General features: G+C 52.0%; 1 protein-coding gene across 1 annotated transcript, besides 1 other annotated feature; it reads right to left on the reverse strand.

Annotated features, from left to right (window-relative positions):
- Positions 1,125–19,598, reverse strand: GDF6 (growth differentiation factor 6). Its single transcript, NM_001001557.4, has 2 exons — positions 19,079–19,598; positions 1,125–4,316 (listed from the first exon to the last, which is right to left on the reverse strand). The coding sequence occupies exons 1-2, from the start codon at positions 19,482–19,484 to the stop codon at positions 3,355–3,357; spliced, it is 1,368 nt and encodes a 455-aa protein (NP_001001557.1). The 5' UTR covers positions 19,485–19,598; the 3' UTR covers positions 1,125–3,354.
- Positions 4,418–4,477: a silencer, noted in NCBI's record as "silent region_19385". NCBI's record gives its function as "represses an Ori minimal core promoter by ATAC-STARR-seq in GM12878 lymphoblastoid cells {active_cell/tissue: GM12878}" and the evidence as "EXISTENCE:reporter gene assay evidence [ECO:0000049][PMID:35858748]".

Raw genomic sequence — 20,733 nt, forward strand, 5'->3', positions numbered from 1 at the left:
GGAAACTCAAACAATCACCGTGTCCACGGGAAAGTGTTTCTTAGTTCTAAGGGTCCACTTGCAACCAGTTTTTTGAAACATGACCTATTTGTAAATTGACTATTGTGTTGATAACCAAAACTCATAAAAATCACACCCAGGGCAGTCCCAGCAAAGAGTAGAGAGCCAAAGCCCAGTAATGGCTTAAACTGTAAGTTTACTGGGCCAAGCCCAAAGCTAAGAATTCAAGGAGTTTTGCAACCCATACCCATTTTTCAGCTGCCCTTATGCCAGCAGTTACAATTCACACACTCCAAAACTTCAGGCAATGCTGCTGGCCTCTGTACCATTTCCTCCTCCGCCAGCTGACCAACCCTAAGGATTGTAGCTAACTGCACATTCCCCACGTCAATATTTAGGGACCAATCAGAGAGCAGGTAGATGATCTGGGGACAGAATTGTACAGTGGTTAACTCCTCAGGCTCTAGAGTCTGAATGAACTAATTTTAAATCCTAACTACAATTCCCTGGCTGGATGCCCACAGGCAGGTTACTTAAATTCTCTGCACCTTGGTTTCCTCATTTGTAAAATGGGGATTATAATAATATCTACCTCTGAGGGTTTTAAATGAGATTCTACATGTGTAGAATAACATCATGCCTGATAGAGTGAGTGCTCACATTCACACATGAGTTCCCCAATTCACAGCAAGCACAGAAAAACATTTGTATCTTCTGCTTCCAGTATGCCACAAAGGTAATGAGTAATTACACTGACATCTTGGTTGACTTAGGTAACCACTTTCTTACCTCAACATTACTGCTTTGTTTTTTTCAACATTAAAGCAACTAAGAAATAATCCAATTTCTATTTGGATTCCTGAAGTGCTGGGATGAGGGACAGGCTTATAAACACTGGTCTAATAGGTGACAAGGATTTGGCTTTATTCTAGTAATAAAAATGTCATGAAAAAGGAGTTATTGAAGAGTTATGAAGAAAAAGTGTAATGCTCTAAATGATAGATTTTTAAAATCATCAGTTTGTTTTCAGGCATTGAGTCCCAAACTGGAACAAACTACCTCTGACAATAATTCTGTGAGAAAAGGATTTTTCTAAATCGATCCATATAAACCAGGCTGAGTTATTAAGGAGAAAAATGCGTTTAATAATATAGCATTCGATTGCATATCATCCAGGAAAGGTGTACTGTAAAAAATGTTTTGATTATTCATTGACCTCTGGTAACTTTAGCGTTGTAAATACTTGTATTATATGAGGTAGACAGTTTAAAAAAAACTCTCCATTAGACAGACTTAAAATTTTGTAATAATATTTAAGAAAATGGTAACATTATGAAAAAATGAAATATCTGATTAATGCTTAACTTTGTACAACTCGAATATAAACTTTAAAAATATTAGAAATTATAACATTTGAGTGCATATAACGTTTTGTACATTAGGATGAATTGCATGCTGTCCATTTCCTCTTTGCACTTTCAGTCACCTTAAATAAACAAATATATACAGCCTTAACAGAACAACAGTGCATCCAAAGCAAATGTGCATTTTAAATTATTTCTCCTGGCCAAGTCTTTTTTTCACTTAGCATTTTTATATTAGCATTTCTTATCATCCCCACCCTTTCTTTGACAGTTTGTAGTTCTCTGAACCAAACAAGCAACAGGTTTAGATTGGAAGAGAGCAAAATCACTTAGGAAAAACTAAAACTTTTTAAAAGGCTGGTACAAATTCCATTGATTAAACAATTTTATAGTCAAAGATGAGGAGGAAGCTAACTCTTCAAAGGGCCTACTCATGGGCAATGTTTGAAAACAATACTGGTGCAGGCTGGGGGAAAGTTCATGTTTTTGACTATCTGGGAATGGGTATTTCAATTTCACTGTGCTCTCTCCAGCTTCCTCCCAGAAGACGAATTCCACCCCTGTCTCCTTCCTCACTGCCTGTTCCCCATCTCCCACCCCAAGCTCAATGTAACACTTGGCTCTTTTCACAGTTTCTCATTACTAAGTTTTAAAAACATTGCCTAACTGATAATTACAATCTGAACCAATTCTTTTGGGGGAGCCCTGGGCTATTGCTGGCTGGTAATCTTTCAGGAATGTCAAAGAGAGGGGAGGGAACTCAGATTTTAAAGAAACTTCAGAGACAGGGACTTGTGTCCCCTTTCATCCCTCCCTTCCCCACTCCTGGCTCCTGGCCTGTCCCTTGATCCCCATCCTCCCTGAGGCCCACCATCTTCCCTCCTGATGGGACTCCTTCTACTTCTTGGTTCCTTTTCCCTCCTTTGTAGCTCTTACGTTAATTGTTTTGTTCCCCACTCCTGCCCATTTTTTTGAACTGGAAAATCACCTTCCCCTTAGAAGTGCATGTCTGAATTTTGGCAAATTCTGTTGAAAGAAATCAATTAGAATCAGAAAGGGCATTTGGGTGGGCTACCTCCAGCCTGGGCTAATGCACCTCCGTGTCAGCCCCAGTCAGAGGCAGGCCTTGTGGTTTCTCATTATCCTTCAAGGGGTTCCATTTGGACTAATTCTTGTCATTCCATCCATACCAGCTCCCCTTGCCCCCACCAGAAAAAGCAACAATGAAGGCAGAGACCTGGGCCCTCAGGAGTGAGATGAAGGTTGCCAGTTCCTGGTACCGAAAGAGGCCAGGGCAGAGCTGGTAAACTCACAGAGTACACAAATGGGTGAGAGGGGCACCCGTGGGCCCACCTCTCTCAAAGCTCTTCTATAGGCAGGACCATTCCTGACTTAACTATTCTTTTTGCCAATTTCCCTATCTAACACTTTCTGTGTGGGAGGGCACAAGACATGGGCTATGACATGGCCAGAGACCCCACCTTCTTTACACATGTAAAAACCAACCAAATCAAGATGCGTCAACGGTGATTCTTCCTCCCACATTGTTTCCCTTTTTAAACTGTTATTTTTTCAATCCATGGAGCAGTTGAGAAACGGGTATGCATCTCTCCTCCCCTCCCCTTCTATCAAAGCCTGTAAGACACATAAGGAAATCCAAAGCCACAGTAATAGAGAGAGAGAGAGAGAGAGAGAGAGAGAGAGAGAGAGAGAGAGAGAAAACAGAACAAAAGAAATCCTCCTTGGCTTGTTTTTCCAGGGTGGCCAGGCAAGGTGTGAAAATCCATATTTCCCTCTGGGCTGGCAGGTAGAAGTTACTGGGAAGGCTGCGCTCCCTTCTCTCCCACCGGCTCTCACATCCAGGCTGTTCCCTCACCCTCAGCCTCCCCCAGCGCCAGCTTCCTCCTCCGCCTCTCTGCAGCCAGGCCTCCCCTGCAAGGCGGACCTTGGCCCACCTTGGTTCCGGGCCAAGGCGGCGGGAAAGGCACCGCTACCTGCAGCCGCACGACTCCACCACCATGTCCTCGTACTGCTTGTAGACCACATTATTGCCCGCGTCGATGTATAGAATGCTGATGGGAGTCAATTTGGTGGGCACGCAGCAGCTGGGCGGGGTGGAGCCGGGGTCCATGGAGTTCATCAGCGTCTGGATGATGGCGTGGTTGGTGGGCTCCAGGTGCGAGCGCAGCGGGAAGTCGCATACACCCTCGCAGTGATAGGCCTCGTACTCCAGGGGCGCGATAATCCAGTCGTCCCAGCCCAGCTCCTTGAAGTTCACGTGCAGGGGCTTCTTGCTGCAGCGTAGCCTGGACTTCTTGCCGTGCCGCTTGCCATGGCGACTGGCGAAGGCCGTGCGCCGCCGCCGGCGGCCGGGCGAGGGCAGCCAAGGCCTGGCATCCGGGGCGCCCGACGGCGGCGGCCACGACCCCTCGGCGCCCGCGCCCGGGCCCGCAGCCTCGGCCGAGCCCAGCTGCTCGCGCATCTCTGCGAACAGGTTCTTGCGCTGGGATCTGGTGAATACCACCAGCAGGGCCCGCTCCTGGGGAGGCCGCACCCTCCGGCCGAAGCCCAGACTCCGCAGGTCCGGGGGCGGCGGTTGCTGGGGTCCCCGCGCGCGCGCCTCGGCCTCCCCGGCGTCCAGCTCGCCCCATGCGGCCCGCAGCTCCAAGCACAGCTGCTTCCAGGGCTGGTGGCGCAGGCCCTGCCACACGTCGAAGACTTCCCAGCCGGCCGGCGGCGCCCCCTGCGGGTCCAGGGTCCGCGCGTCCAGCAGTAGGGGCGAAAGGCAAGGGAAGAGCTGCACGTGGAGCGGCCCGGCTGGTGGCCCCCAGGGCGCTGAGGGCGCCTGGCGAAAGAGCCGCAGCTCCGCGCCCACCAGCTCTTCTTTGTCTGAGAGCATGGACACATCAAACAAATACTTCTGTCTCCGGAGAGGAGTGTGCGAGAGATCGTCTGCGAGATAAAAAATAATTACAGTCAGTTTCACTTAAGGGGGAGATCAGCCCGGTGCTCTTCGGCCGCCCCGGGAGGAAAAGGGCGGGGAGTGGGGGCAGGTCGGCCGGGCAGTCCAGCTTGCCCGGCCCAGGGCCTGACCACCCCGGCTCCCCATCTGGCTGGTGCATGGCGCGGGGAAGGGGGCGCGCCAGGACGGGCCCCCTCCTTCGCGTCAGCTCCGGACTCTCAGGGCGGAAGTCGGTGGCTGCTGGCGAGGCGGCGGCGGCGGCCTACCGGGTTTTCCCCCCAAAAGGCTTCGTAACCACTAATGTGCCCTTTGTGGTCTCAAGCCTGGGCCGCGTTTCCCCTAGACCTCCTCTGGGCTGGGCTGGCTCGTTCTCGTTGACGTCTCAAATGTCACCTCCTCCAAGTAGCCACCCCTGAGCACCCTGATCTAAGGTAGCCTCTCCAGGTCTCTATCACAGGACTGGCTTGATTATCTTCCCAGTACTTAGGATTATCTACAATTACCTTGTTTACTTTTATCTCCTTAGTAGTCTGCCTTTCCCAGTAACACTCTGTCTGCCTCCACCAACCCACGGGAGCTAGGCCGATGTCATTGTCCACCTTGCTCCCCTCAGTGCCTAGGGCGGTTCCTGACCTGGAGCACACGCCGGTCAGGTAAGTGGGAAACTTCTACGACAGCGAATCTTAATCTGGCCCACTAAAATGTCCTGGAGAACTGAAAAACTGCCAGGACCAGGGCTTGATTCAGCCTATTGAATCACTGTCTAAGGACAGGACTGGCCATGGGGTTTTTGTTTATTGTTTGCTTTTTTTTTTTTTTAACTCCAAGATGACTTAAAGGTGCAGTTCTAGTTTAGACTCACTAGTCTGGGGTAACATTGCTGCCCATCAGGCGGTTTTGGTGGGTCCAACACAGTGCAGGCAGAATGAAGAGCTGGTGAGAGATTTATTTATTTATTCACCAATCATTAAACAACAAACAAAAGAGCAATGAAGTTTCAGAAGTATTGGGGGCAGGGGGTGACAAATGAACAAACACACACACCTTGCATCTGTCCATTGAGAACATCCTGCAGTCAATGAGAAAAATATATACCTGGAAGGCAGAAAACTGGAAGGCAGAAAACCTCAGCCAGGGACAATTAGATACACACACACACACACACACACACACAGAGAGAGAGAGAGAGAGATAGAGAGACTTTCCCATCTCTCCTCCCACTCCCAATCTAAAATTCTCTCACTTTGCAACTATTCCTGAAGATAAAAGTTTTGGTCATAAGTGAGAAAAAGAAATTTAGGACAGGTGAGGTAGGGGAGTGTAACAGGCTTTTAAAATCCAAGGCAAATTCTTCAGAACCAAGGCAAAACCGGACTTCTTTTTTGACACATTTGTGCATGAAGCCAACTCCACTTCAATGTGCAAGGCGGAAAGCTAACCAGATTTTCCTGGGCTGCCTTCCCATAAAATATTTACAACCCAGCAAATACAAAAATCCCCAAAGCCCCCAGCCTTCCCCAGAAGCTAGTAAAGTTTGGGTCGATTTCAATAGTAAAAGTGTCACTGGGCCCAGCATCCAACCCTCTCTACCAGTCCAGATGTAGCCCGGGGGCACTGGCTCTGGAGCCTCTGCCACACCCAGTTTGTACTCGGGGCTGACCGTAGCACTGGCTGGTTCACTCTTACGCACATGCCCCAACCTGAGATGGGGTGTGGGAAGGGTTAGAGAGGTGAAAAGGGAAAAGCTGCTGCAGGCAGTTGATTTATGGAAGCCAAGACCTTCAAACAGACCAGGGTCACATTAAAATCAGGCGGAATTCAGCACACTTTCTTCTCCTTCAAAGAAACCTGTGTCTGACAATGCTCAGCCTCCACCCAGATCTCTGGACGTACTGCCTTAGGCTTGGCTTCCTGCCTCTCTCCCCAAACTAGGGATGAGATGAGAGCAACAAATCTAAGGCACTTGCTGCACTAGCTAAATGTGGTTAGGAATAACATATTTCCAATCTATATCCACCTGCACAGAACAGTTCTGAAAGGTAATTACTTGTATTATTCCCATTTTACAGATGAGAAAACCAAGGATTGGAGAAATTAAGGTATTGCCAAAAGTCAGACAGCCAGAAAGTGGTGAGGCTAAGAGCCATACTTATGTCTATTTAATTCAGAGTTGGAGCATTTAGCCCCTAAACCCCACTGCCTCTCCACTGTAGTCCAGGTACTGGAGTCTAAAAGTAACCAGAAGTGGCCAGTGTATAAGAAAAGGGGAAAAGAGTCCAAATTATTTGCAGGGCTTGCTAGGAATAAAATCTAGGCTCCCTTAGGAAATCATTTCCATCTTTGCTTACACAACTCTTGAGATGGTTTGCCACTGGCTGGAGTGCATTAGGCAGGTGTAAAGAATTATGATTTACTTCTCTCTCATGCAATATGGGGGAAATCAGCCTGCTTTTGTTTTTACTCTTTTAAAAAAAATGTGTGGGCTAATAAATGATTAATTTGCACAGCTGAGTTAAAACTGAGGCAAGCATCTGTAGAGAAAGATCTCCTACTGATTCTGCAGCCTTAGGATTTCTGATGATCTTTCCAGCAAGACCAGCCCACCCCTACCCTTTCCACGTTTCAGTGCAAGAATGCAAATGGGACTTCAGCTTCTTCTCTCTTCTCTTTCCACACTAGCTCCATCACCTACTTCAAGGGGCCTCACCTGTGAGCATGTGGCCATCCCAGCTGACAGCTTAAAGCTGTGCACAGTTTCACAGGTGCACACATCAGTGGTTCGATCTACCTTTGGGGGAACTGAATGGATGAAGAGGCTGTCCAGACCCTGCAAGTGAGCTCAGGGATATTTGGGCAAGAATTATATGGCCCAGGTATCTGGAGCTTGGTCTGGAATAGTGACTCTCAAAGCCACTAAATCTGCAGTGGTCTTTAAATCTGCATCATCAGCATCACATAGGCGCTTGCTAGAAATGCAAATTCTCTCTCGCTCTAGAGGCTTGTGGTAGGGTCTAGAATTTGTATTTCTAGTAAGCTCCCAGATGATGCTGATTCTGCTGGTCCAAGAAATTACTCTAAGAACCACTGATCTAACTGGGGGTTGTCCTCTAGGTTCTTTGAATTCACCACTGAGTAGGGGGGAGCACCAAACAAGGTGCTGCAAAGCACAGGGCTCAGGGCAGCATCTAAGGCAGTACTCACCAGGACCAAGTCAATTCTACCTCTCCCAGCCCATTCGTGGCCCCCAAAGCCACCCCCATTTTTTTATCCTTTCAGCCACAAGTTCTCTTGGTTCTGGGTCTCCAGAACCTCTAACCCCTAAACAGAAGGTCCAAGAAGGTGGCTCCTCTGTGCAGCTCCCCTGCAGACCACATTCCCTACCTGTCTAAACCTGCATCACAGAAATAGCTCAGAGGAGGCATCCAACCTGGGGAGTGAATACAACACCATGCACTGTTACCCTGAAGACACTTTGCCTGCTGCCTGCTGACCTGGCATCACAGAGCCTGGCTCAGCTGCCATGAGCCATCTGTGGGCAAAAAGCCAGCCCTTCATACTCCGTTCCAAAAGCCTCCTCTCCCATTAAGTCTTGTATAAATGAAGACTGATGTCATCAAATGATCCTCTCTCCCACCCCTTTGACTAAAAAAACATGCACTTGTCACTTGAAAATCTGTGGCACTTTCCCACATCCTGGAAGTGAATCCTATGCTTTGGGCCCTTAAATTGAAATTGACCAGAAATACATGGTGGGAGTTTTTTATTTCCCTTTTACTTTGCATCAACCTGGTTTGTTACAGCTTATTCACACCTCTGTTAACGGTGTTTGCTGAACATTAGACATATAAACATTTCCAGTTACAATTGCTGGATTAGGGCTTATCTTCGTTTCCTGGCAGCTACGTAGAGAAAGGAGGGTGAAGAGAGAAAAATAAGAAGGAAGGAACAAACCGTGGCATGTTAGAAGATACTCCTTCATAATGGTCAACGAGTTGGTAAAAGGCTGAAAGCACCTCAAACATATATTTCTGGTGTAGAATTTAGGAAAAATTTAAAAGAGGGGAGATGTTGGTCAAAGGGTACAAATTTTCAGTTAGGGTGAATATAAGGTAAAAAATAAAATTTTAACTAAAAAAAGAAACCAAGAGAAGGAATGGTACCTATTTGCAAAGTAATTACCATTGCACCCATTTTAAATGAGAAAACTGGCCTAGAAAGGAAAAGGGCATCTGTCCACGGTCACAGTACGTGGCTGGAGAAAGTTGGAGTGGCAAACTCCAGAGCGGAAAGGAAAAGATGCCCGCAACGCCAAAGGCCAGACGCCCGGGGAACCTGAGCCCCAAGAGGGCGGCATGAGGGAGGGACACGTAGCTGCAGGACTCTGTGCGCTTGCCCACTCCAGCCTGCCCACTCCAGCCCCAGAGCCTTCTGCTGGGGGCTACTTCCTTGGGCTAGCCTGTAGAGGGTTTCCAAAAACCAGAAACTTCCTTTGGTTGGAGGTGGGAAGGGCCTGGCATTGCATTTTCCCAAGACATCTCTGAGATATATACTCAGCTTGAGGTCCCTTTTGAAAGTCCTAGTTGGATTTTGTCACTCGCCTGGCTGTGCACCCACGGCTCCAACTTCCCGGACTTGCAGGATTCTTGGTACGGCTGACTTTGGGCTCCACGAGATTCCTCCGCGCGCACCTGGCTCACATCTCTGAGTACGCAGTGACCCTGGATAGCTACTGGCCAGGCGTCCCGCCACGCCTCCCAGCCATGTTCTCCGGTGGCACAGGCCCCGCGACTAGGCCACTGTCCAGAAAGTCGAGAAGATAGTGGACTTTCCCATCCCCAATCCCCAGGCAGGGAGAATCACCCATCTTTGCAAGAGAAACTCTAGGCGCCTTTCCCTTACCCCCTCATTTTAGAGCCAGCAGCAGCATTGAGCGCTTGTAGGGCACCACCTTTGTGCTAGGCACGTGCTCAGAGCTTTGATGGCCTCTCTCACTGAATTTTCACAGCGAACGTCTAAGGTCAGGCCTACTGTGATACTCACTTATAGATGAAGAAACTAAAGCTCTAAGAGGTATCTTGCCCATTGTCTTGAAACTAGCAAGGGACAGATGTTGAAGGTCCTAATTCCAAGTGCCCTGACCCCAGTCCTGCAGCGCAAGAGACAGGTGTTGAAGGTCCTAATTCCAAGTACTCTGACCCCAGTCCTGCAGCCATGCTGCTCTACCAGGGTCCTGTTTTGGCAGGGGGCCAGGAAATAGGACATAGCTTCATCATTAGTGTAATCAAGGTGGGCTGGGTTCCCCCAGGATTTTTTTTCTTTTCTTTACTACAAAGAAGACCTCCAAGCTCAAAATTCATGACTGGGCTTGGAGTCATTTTCTCAACTAAGTCTCTCACCTTCCGCGCTGCACTGAGGGGGCAAAGTCCATCAGGTTGGAAATAGAGCCAGGTGTACTGGGTGATTAAAAATGAGCCACCAACCCCTCCTCCTGGAGTGTGAAGGGCTTTAAGGGGAATCTGTGTGCCAACTATGTACCCTCTTCCTGAAATACAGATCTCTTGGGCCTCCCCCTGAGGAGATACTCATCCTGAGTCAGGCCTCTGTTGAGATCTGAGCTTTGCAAGCTGCTGACGCATTGCTAACATTCTTACTGAGATGTAAGTTCGGGAAGCAGTCCATACAATTCACCCTTTCCAGGGTGCTTTTTCTTAACCCCAATACTCATGCCTGATCCCCCAGCATAATAATCGTTAAGAGCAAACACTGGTGTGGCACTAAATCTGTTCTGGGCATGATCTAAATTCTTAACTTGTAGTAACTCATTTAATTCTCAAAACCACTTCTGAGACAGCCATCATTCTAAACTAAAAGAGACAGCTTGAGTAACTGGCTCAAGATACTAAGTAGTAGAGTGGGCAATCTGGCTCCAGTATCTGTGCCACCACCCTAGACATCCCAGCCCTGATCTCTGTGCCTTGTAGAAACCCTGAGAAACTCTTCCATGCTGCCCATGCCTGGAGGGAGGGCATCAATCCCTGGCCGGCAAGAGTCACTCACTTCAGCAGAACTACAGCAGTCATTACTTCAGCAGAAGAAATGTCGATGATTGGACTTGTGAAAGAGAATTTAGGAGGAAAATTAACAGGGCCACAGAGGGGTGCAAATGAGATAAGGTGTGAGAGAAAGACTTCTGAATGCAAATGTCAGTCACTACTGACAATGTGGAATGAGCATAGGAATTTAAAGTCTAAGAGACATAAATTTGAGTCCTGATCTGTGACTTAGTGGCTGGGTGACCTTGGTTAGACTGGGTCGCATAATCTCTCCCAGCCTCATATGCCTCAGCTGTAAAATGAGAGAACCACCTGTACCTTGCAGGATCATTGTAAAGGTCAGAGTCAAAGTACCTCAGGGATGTGCATAGTACATAGAGACGTCCAGTGAATGCAGCCAATATTTCTGTGACTACTTACATCTTCTAGGGGAAGGTGCACCTGTCCTTCTCTTGACTTCCTTTGAAATCCAGTTCTCTGGACTTCAGTCCTTGTGGTCCACTTCTCTCCACAAGATTCCAGAAGTGAGTGGAGGAAAGGTGCTAGGAAGCATGAGAAAGATGAAGACGCTTCCAGTTCCTGCTTATCTGAAGTCAAGTGAAAGTCAAGGCTCATGGAGGCTGCAGCCTCACCTCATCATCCCGATTCTTCTCAGTCCTGTGAGGCCCTGTCACCACTGCTGTCCCTCCCACAGTGCCAGGTGAACAGATGACCTCCACCCCAGCCACATCAAGGATCCAGCCCTTCTTGCAGGTTTCCTCTTCTGCAGGGGTCAAGGCCAGTGACAGCCCTTGTGCTAACCCAAATGACTCCCTGGCTGGCAGTGCAGCCCTGAGAGGCCTAAGGATTCGTTTCTTTCCCCACTTTGGTGTCCTTTTGTGGGGGCACGATCTGACCACAGGGCCAGTCTGGGGTGGGGATAAGGAGGCAGATGTTACTGATCTTCACTGTGCAAAGGGCCAGACACATATTGATGGGGAGGGCTGCAATGGAGGGCCCCTTGGGCTGCAGCATGAGGCCAGGCCTGTGGTGCTTGTCACTTTCGAAGGTTTCGTTGGCGGGTCTGTCTTCAGTGTGTGTTCCTTCTCATCACACATTCACCAGTCCAGCTTTTCTCATGTCTCTTGGCTTCCCCAGTGCCCTCCCCAATAGCTTGCCCTGTATTTCTGCTTCCAAAGACCAGAGGGGTCCAAGGCAAGTCTTCCACGGAGTCTTGGAGAGGCTTTTCCACTCTTTCCCTCAGGCCTCCAGACCCAGGCCCTTCTCTTCCTGAGGGGCCTGGGCCTTGTAGACTCCACAAGTTAAGTGGGTCTAGTGGCCTGCCTGGATCCCTGGGAGAAATCCCTGTATGGGCACAGCAAGCTGCGGCTCAAGGTGAGGCAAATGAATGAGAGTGGAGAGAAAGAAAAGAAAGGAGATCCTCGAATCCCACCCAACTGAAAACAGCTTCGCACCCCTCACCTCGGGGCCTCAGCACCGCCTTTAGTGGCCTTAGCTCTAACCCCAGGGTGCCTGTTTCTGACAAGCAGTGCTGGCTGGGGAGAAGCCCTCTCCCGTGAGTGCTGCTCACCCTATCAGGAGCTCCAAGGCGCTTTAAGGAAACTCCTTTTGTCTCTAGAGGATGAAACAGATTCATTTACAAAGCAGTTTTCCTGAACTTAGTTAATGACCCTGATGGCTGCGTGCTCTCTTGAGGGGCCAGAGAGGCAAAGCTGAGATCAAGGGCACTTCACTGTGCTTCTCTTTTCAACGGGGTCCCATTCTGGGCTCCCGACCACAGCGGCTCAAATCTTAATTTGACATCACTGCAGATGAAACCCAAACCGAAGCTCTCGTACTGTTCCCGCGCTGAGCCCTCCCTCCCCATCTCACTGAGGCGCGCACGCGGCCTGCCCTTCCCCTGGGGCCGGGACCTGGGGGGTTGGCTAGGGGCGGCCTTCCCTGCACTGTCGACCGGTAAGTCACCCGGGAGCCCAGGGGAGCAACCAGGTCCTCCACGAAGGCTAGGGGAGCGGAAAGGGAGGAATCCTCAAACTGCCATCGGAGCTGGAATATGATCGGGCTGCATGGCTTCAGTTTTGAGATCAAAAGTAGAAGGAAGGGTGTTCATTTTATGTGACTTCCGCTCCCTGACCAGTTCTGAGCTTGCAGGTGGGGGCGAGGGTTCAAACTGGCTTGTAGTCGCGGGGAGGATATTGGACTCAGCACCCAGGGGTCCTGCGCAGGAGAAACCGCTGTGCTGTGCTCTTTAAGGTGCTGGGCCGTGTGCAGTCTGGGAGGAAGGGAGAGCCGCAATCTCTGTCTGCGGTGTTCATTTAGGTCTGACTTTCGAAACAATTTAGCAAAGTGAGATTCGTGGGCCCTAGTCTATTCCTAGTCAATTTCCCTCCACGCTGAGCTTCGGAGCGGCAGTGGGCTGGGAAGTGGAGTGGGAGGCTGGACCAATTTGCCTGGAAGCCAGGTTTGCAAAGCAGGCGCACCGATTCTCCTGGGCTCCTATGTTATTAAGGGATGCCCTCTGCACCCCACTAAAGCCAATCCCCTGCGCTGCCCCTGTGCCCGTCCTCTGTCCTTCTCCCCAAGCTAAACCAGCCTGGGCTAGAGGCCCGCCCCTGGCCTCTTTCACGCCCACTCTCGGGTCCCTAAACCATGCCCCGCCCCCAGGCGCCGGGGCCACTAGCGCCGCCGCGCGCGCTTCCCTAGGAACGTTGTCCAGCGCCGCCCGCCGCCCGCCCCTTCCAAGCTCTTGCAGCCCCTCACCCCAAGTGGACCCAACCCTCAGTCCCCAGCAATGCTAATGGACTGTCTTAGAAGGCAGAGAACTGCAACCCTGGAACCCATTAGTCCAAGGAGGACCTATTTAATTCCTGTAAACAGGAGATACTATTTAACCGACTTAGAGTTTAAAAATAAACAGCCAGGCCTTGGGGTGGGGGATGGAGGGATGTCAAGCAACGGAATGGCACGGTGAATCCACATTCCGGCATTCCACACCTCGAGGGCTCGGCTCGATTCAGTCCCCTGGTCCAAAGAGTGTCGTTTGACCCGGGTTATTCAATACCCGAGGGGTTATCGAACTAATGGCTTTCCTTTTACTTAAAAGCCCCCAGGGATTACTGTTGATTTGCTCTAAGACCTTTGGTGCACGCAGTAGTCCTAGCAGGAAACAAAAGTTCTCGTTCTGCCCTGTTTCTATCATACCATCTTCCTCCCCACAGTCTCCACCTCATTCCCTTCTTCCTTCTCCGCCACCGCCCCAGAAAGACGTCACCACTTTCGAGGAGGTGTGTAAGAACCTCAAGGACTCCAGCTAAGAAAAACATGTGGTGTTAGGGCCTCCGATGCAGTGCCCTGCGTTCCCCGCGGGTCCAGGTGACACGCATCCTCTCCGGTCGGAAAGAGGAGCTTTCAAGTCCTGATTCAATTGGGGGGTGGGGAGGGTGGAGAAGAGGGATTCGCCAGGCCTGTCGTGATCTGTGGTCTGAGTGACTTTTTTCTTTTAATGCGCAGAAACCACAAGGATGTTTGAGCACGTTTTTAGATCCCCTCCCCCATCGGCAACTCCACCGCGCGAACTCCCAGAGGCCCGAGAGCCTCCCGCGTTGAGGAAAACGCTATGTCCGTCTCAGATTAGCCTCCTTTGCCAAGGAAACTCGCCAAGAATCCCTGCGCAACCTGCGCTCTCGCTGTAGAGCATACTAGGTGGTCTTTCTTTCTTTCTTTTTAGAATCTTCTTGCTTTTCCCTGTAAGGCAGACCTTAAGGCCTTAAGGATTGGAACTACAATAACTGATGTTTAACAGCAAGTCAGTGCCTAAGAGTTTGGTCTGTGGCCTTAAACGTGCCTTACTTATTCGAACCAGAAGAGCAAAACAAACTTCCAATTTAAGGCTTCTTTCCCTTACCCCCAGGCTTTTTGCAGGACCTTCCAGTTCACCTGGCTGGAGGAGGACCGTGAGCCTGGACAGTGGCACAAACCCCGTGCCCGCGCTCATGCAGGCGCACCCTCATACGCACACACTTGAACGCTTAGCAAGTCTTTTCCAAGGCTGTTCCCTCTTTCCGGGGAAATAAAGCCTAGATTGGAACCTTCTGCCCAGCTTCCTCATTTGGCCGTCTGGTCTGCATTAGTGTTTTTATAAGGGACTCAAACAAATCGAATACAAGGTCACCAAATAATTAACAGTTGTGAATTCCCTCCGTCCCCATTAAAATACTTCCCTGCTTATATTTCATTTTCGGTTTGCCAACGACAACAGGGTACCGGCAAAAGCACTGCTGAGTTGATTACACCACTCTGCGGCTCAGGTCCACCCAGAAACCCGCTGTTTTGCATAACATGAGGTACCAGATGAACTTCAATCGCGAGGGGACTATGCAACTCTCTGAATGCCCTCCCCGCAGCCGGGCTATTCCCAGAATGGTCCTGCTCTGCCCTTTGGTAATCACGACCCAGAAGGTGAATGGAGAAGCCAACAAACAATCAGTGGCAAACTGTCCTGAGAGTTATTTCTAGGGCATCAAGTTCTTCAAGGATGTTCCCATCTCGTTTTGGTTTTTATCTGTTCCTTACTGCCTCCTTTTTGAGAATATTATTACAACAAGAAAAAAGTAAAGGGTATTCTTATTTCAAAGCCATCTGGAAACCTAACTCACAGCAATAGTCTTAGACTCATTTCGGTTCTCTCATTCTTGAGAGTTGTTTTTTCTCCTTGTTGGAATTATGTGGCACCTTTCCCTACATAAACTGAAAGTCTGAATCAGTCAGTCTCTTTCTCTCTCTCTCTTTCCCTCTCTCTCTCTCTCTCTCTCTCTCTCTTTCCCTCTCTCTCTCTCTCTCTGTCTCTCTCTTTTCCTCCCTCCCCTCTATCTCTCAGCCCTGCTAAATTCATAGAACTAATTGTCTGGCTTTCCCAGGCCCCAGGGCTGGGGGTCCAGGGCCCCAGTACTAGTAGCCTTTTAATGAGTTATTTCATGAGCAAATTGTAATTTCATCATATCCAACCTTGTCCATTCTCATCCCATGATGGCACCTAAACACACAGGCACACACCTTCTCACCTTTATGGATCCAACATCATTTTTAAAGCACAATATAAGAGCATTTTTAAAAATCAGGGATAATATGGTTTGTGCATCTGCTAAAATAAGAACAGGAGGAAGCAAAGCACACCAAAATTCAGACCCTCACATCTAGTTTCACTCACACTCCTAACTGGGTCTTAAGTGACTGCAGACAAATATTAGACTGGGGGAAAATCTTTCCATTTTTTGACTTCTGCTTCTTGTCATCATCCATTAGAAACCACCTCACCACTTAAACTATCTATACAGTGCTCTAGTTAAACATGCAGGGTCTCGAATCTTATATAGGCCCCACCTCTCGCTAGCTGTGTGACCTCGAGCAACTTGCTTAACTCCTCTGTCTTCTTTACTTCACCTGTAAAACGTGGTGATGATAGCGTTTTCCTAGGAAGTGGTTGTGATAACTAAGCGAGATAATTCATGTAACCAATTTTAGTGCAATGCTTGGTACACAGTAAATTTTCAATAAATCGTGGTTACTATTATTACTCCTAGGTGTCTGGAGAGCATACTGAAAGAAGGGACCTGTTTTAGGTTTGTTTGGTTTCTTTTTTTTTTCCCCAATAAGTTCTCCTCCTGGAGGATAGGGAGAAGTGGCCTGGGATGGAGTACAGAACTTGCTTTCTTTATAAACCTAAAGCGTCCTTCATTCACTTTGGGCAGAGTTTATGCCTGTTCTCCCACTCTCAACCATAGGCTTCAGGTGTAACTTTGGGGTTTCCGGGGTAAGGAAGGCTTTTTACAGATACTGTACAGGAGCAAGTCGCCCATGCCTCCTGGACTGACTTCGGGGCTCCTTTCCTTTTCTTCGCTCCTCCCCTTGGGGGACCCCCGGCTCCACCGAGCCAGGCCAGCCCCACTCGACGGCGATTTAAACATCCCTTAGGCAAGGCGCCAAGTTAGCGCTGCTGGCCCAGCTCTAGGCGGGCCGCTGCTCTTTCCTCCTCGCCAGGCCGTCCACGCGTTGGGGGAGGGGACCCTAGGGGGGTTGGCGCGGTTAAGAGCCCCACGTGAGAGGGGCGGAAGTCCTTGCCAGGAGCCGGGGATGCGCGGCTGGCGGGTCCCTTCCATCACGGGAGACGAGACACCGTTTGATGTGTTATGACATGAACCCTCAATTAGATCGCTGAGTTGAAACACTCCAATCAGGGGCCCGATGCTAAGCAAGCCCCGGAAGGTCCAGCCTGAGGTCACCGCCGGTGACACATCAAATCAAAATCAGTGAGAGGGAAAGTGAGGCTTTCCCTTTATCAAGCTGGGGCTGCAGCCAGCAACGCACCCCCTCCTCTGCGCACCCCTCCCGCCCGTGGCTCCGCACTCCTTCACCCCCGCGCGGCGTGCGACAAGCCGCACCGCCTTCCCAGTCAACGAACTGCCTTTCTTCGCATTTTCTGAGAACCCGGAGACGCGGAGGAGACAGCGCCTTTGAAGATGCTGTCCGGGTGGTCATGCAGCGTCTCCTCCCGCTGTGGACCGCTCGCATCCCCAGCCCTCCACCGCATTCCGGGGTTGTAGCGGTACTTGTGGATCTCGGTCCTGCTAGTCTGGAGGCCTTGGCTCGGGAACAGAGGCCTCCCCAGACTGGGTGCACATGCAATCCCTCCTCTATCTCCAGGATCGGGGGCATACAGCGCAGTGGCGGGGATGGGGGTGGGGAGGCTACAGGGCAAACCAGGGTAAAGTGATTTCGCGTCTACGCCGGATTGGGGCCCCCAAGACTTTTCCCCAACCCTTGTCTGAATGCCACAGGCTTCCGGAGACACCTCCGAACAGCCCGCAGGGTCTTTTGGTCCTGTGCCAAATTCACAGGGCGCAGCGAACCAGTTATGGTGCCCACTTGGGGGAGGGGCAGAGATTCTTGCCACTTCATTCCCGGGCAAAGAAAATCCGCGCCCAACCGCCGGCCAGCCTAGGCCTCTGGGACTTCTTCTCTTGAGGAAGGGCCTCTTGAGCAGTCTTCTCTGAGCTTCCTTAGCCTCCTTCCGCAATTGTAGTAGAGAAAGTGCACGATTAACAGAGGACTTTGAGGGACAGAAACAACTGTAGCAAGGCGTGCGTCGTGGGGAGGGTTGGCGAGCTGCACGGGCAGCACGGAGGCCAGGGACTCAGTTGCACTACTACGAAGAAGCCACATGTCTTTGCAAAGGTGACTTTAGTAGCCCTAAAATCATCATAAAATACCTGGCGTTAATTTGCCCTCTGGACCTTTCAGCAGCTCATGAACCTCGCTGACCTCGGGCTGCAGCGGCGAGACCCTCGAGCAAGGAACGCGACTATGAGTGAGAGGCGGGGACTGGAGCCGGGGAAGAGCTCGGGGCTGGGGGCGGGGGGGCCGTTAGCCTGCTCTAAAAAGCTTAAGAGATGTGCGAGCACCCAGGGTAGCAGTGGCTGAAGCAGCTTCCGAATCCCGAACCCCAGCGCTGCAAGGTTTCCGGGCAACCCCACTTAACTGGGAGCAGGTCAAAGTCATGGAGCTAAGTCTAGGGAGGATGGAGGAGTGGATATCTGCCTAAATCGCTTTTATCCCGTCATTTTCTTCCTTCCTTCTCTTTACTCTTCCTTTCCTTTTTCTCCCTTCCTTTCCTGTCTCCTTCCACATTATTGTCTCTCTCCTTTAGGAGCTTAGTTTCCGATGCCTGTGGATCCTTCCCTGATTTCTGGGACCAGAGGTGGTGCGAGGTTTTCTTGAGGGCACTGGCCACGCTGCAGATCAACGCCGGTGGCAAGAAGGGGCCGCAAGGGTTTCCGCAGACACCCACACATGCAGGCGTTCCCACAGAGGGTACCAGGGATTTCCCAGACCCCCACCAGCCCTCAGGAATAGCGTAGAGAGAGGAACGTCGCCTGGCTGAGAAAGGTGGATGGGCATACCCATGTACCTTTGTGTATTAAGTACCCACAACCTCCGAACTTAGCCGTCCCTGTCCCGGCCCGCCCAACTGCTGCCGCCGCATCTGCAGAAACCACTCGTGTTGAGGCCTCGGAGCAGCCGGGAGCACCACGCTGGAGCAAAAAAGCCGGAGGGCGCAGGGCTCCAGCCCGGCTGACCATCCCACCCAGCGCAGGGACCAACGGAAAACCCGCGCGGCGCCAGGACCAGGGGGCTGCCCGACGCCGCTCGCGGACTAGTTCCTCAGACTGTGGGACTCCCTAGTGCCGGCTTTGCCCAGGGCTTTCCAAGGCTGTCTCATGCCCTAGATCTGCCCCAGCAGCTCAGGCCTTGGACTGCGAACCCAGTATCCCGAGACACCGATTCCATCAGTCCCCATCCCGACCCCTCTCCAGCCGGGTTCATCCGCCTGCTGCCTCCCGTCCTCCACGTTTCCCCCACCAGCCACCAACAAGCGGCAACCACGCTGCCTTCTGCAAAAGAGGAAGAAGGAAAGAAGGGAGAGAGAAAGAAAGGGGGGGAAAGGAAGGGAGGTTTAGAGACTGGAATAGAATCCGCAGCCACATTCAGAAACTTACTCGAGCTTGAGAAAAACAATTTAAGAAAAGTAAAAAGGAAGTGTCCAGAGCAGGAAGGGAATTCACAAATGTAGCCTCCAGCGGGAACAGCTCCCTGGCTGCCGAGCTCCAGCGGGAGGGGAGTCGAGCGTTTTCTTTGCCACTTACCTAGTCCCCTGTCTACAAAGCTGGTGATCGTATTAGCCGACTTGGAAGACTGGAAAAAGCTGGCATTGATGCCCAGCTTCTCAGCGATGGAGTAAGTCCTGTAGATTGACAGCATGTACTCGTGGGGCACCACGCGCGGACCCCTGCCTGGCGGCTCCTGCGCCCGGGGCTGCTGAGCCCGGGGTTCGTCCTGAGGCCGCGGCTGTGGTTCCTGGCCCTCCCGGCCCGCGTCACTGTCGCGCGGCGCCCGCTGCATCTTGCCTTCCTTGCGGCTTCGCATGCCCTTGGTGGAACCCAGCTCGGCGGACGACGAGGAGGATGAGATGGAAGCCTGCTGGAAACCGGGCAAATCCCACAGAAAACTGATGAGGAAGACGGCCGAGAGCAGGACCCTGGGAGTATCCATGGCGGGCAAGTGGCTGCGTCTCCCCAGGAGGCGGTGGCGGCGGCGCAGGACGCGCGGGGCACGGAGCGGCTGGACAGCGGCCGGGGCCCGGCTCCTCGGGCGGACTCGGAGTGCGAGGAGCCGGGTCCCAGCCACACAAACCCCGGCCCCGCCACGCCCCCTCCCGCCCCTCGCCGGGAGGGGAGGAATGGGGAGGGAGGGCAGAGGAGGGGTGGGGAGGGTGGGAGGAGAGCCGGGTGGTGCGGGCCGGAGGTGTGGGGGAGAGGGGCCGCGGTGCGCCGGTGTGGCAGGAAGACGCAGCGCCCCCGCGGGACGCGCGCGGGGTTGCCGGGCGGTGCGCGCGGCGCGGGCCGCAAGCGCTGACCGGGGGAAGGCGGGCGCTGCCGGCCCGTGGCCGGGGAGCAAAGGCTGGCCCGCCGCGCCAGGGTCCCCCTCGAACTCCCGGAGGTGTGGTCCCTCCGCAGCGCGGCCCCGGCTCTCGGTCCTCGCCAGCCGCCTCCACTTTCCTGGGAGCGAGCGGCCCCGGAGGAGGGAAGCGGCGGCGGCGCCCCCAAGAGACAGCTTGGAGCAGGCGCCTCTGCTGCAGGCTGCGTGCTGCCTCGGGGCGGTGGTACCCTCCCTCCTCGGCCCCAACCGCCAGGCCTGCCGTTTGCGCCCCTCAGGGGCCAGCCCGGAGCCAGAGAAGCCTCGCCCTGGGCCAGGCGCAGGGCCCAGCTCGGAACAGCCCCATTTTCTCGGTTGGGTATCGCTCTCCACAAAGACAGGCGTCTATTCCCGACCCTCGAGGTCAGGCAAAGGCCACGAGTCTTTAGAGTTTGGATCGATGCTAAAAGCTGCTGCGCTCCCCTGCAGGCCCCAGCCTCTCCTCTCGCAGTCCCCAACCTCTTCTGACGCAGACTTTAGCTGCTCCACTTCTTCGTCTGCTCCCGGGATCCTCTCCCTCTCGCGGCCTGCCCCCCGCCTCCACTGCATCCCCATTTTCCCTCTCTTCTTTCCCTCCCGCCTGCAGGACTTCCTCCTTCCCCAAGTTCCTTCTGCATTCCAATCCCTCTTCCCCAGCCTGCTTTTCTTCTCACACTGCCCTCCCATCTCACACTGCCTTCCCACCCTCTCTCTTCCCGGCCTCCCCCCTCGCCTTCCAGTGGACCCCTCCCTTTGCAGCTCTACCCCAATCTGTTTCTCTTCAGCCCAGCCTCGCCCCATCACGAGTTTCCTTTATCTGTCCCCAGATTCCCCGTGCCTGTCTTCC

This window comes from Homo sapiens, chromosome 8, assembly GCF_000001405.40.
Source record: "Homo sapiens chromosome 8, GRCh38.p14 Primary Assembly".
NCBI lineage: Eukaryota > Metazoa > Chordata > Mammalia > Primates > Hominidae > Homo > Homo sapiens.

What these genes read in the sequence shown, in the direction of transcription:
- GDF6 (NM_001001557.4), bottom strand. Translation starts at nt 19,484, where the DNA reads ATGGATACTCCCAGGGTCCTGCTCTCGGCCGTCTTCCTCATCAGTTTT. An exon ending in CTTTGTAGACAGGGGACTAG is followed by an intron (nt 4,317 to 19,078) that starts GTAAGTGGCAAA and finishes TTTATCTCGCAG; the next exon opens with ACGATCTCTCGCACACTCCT.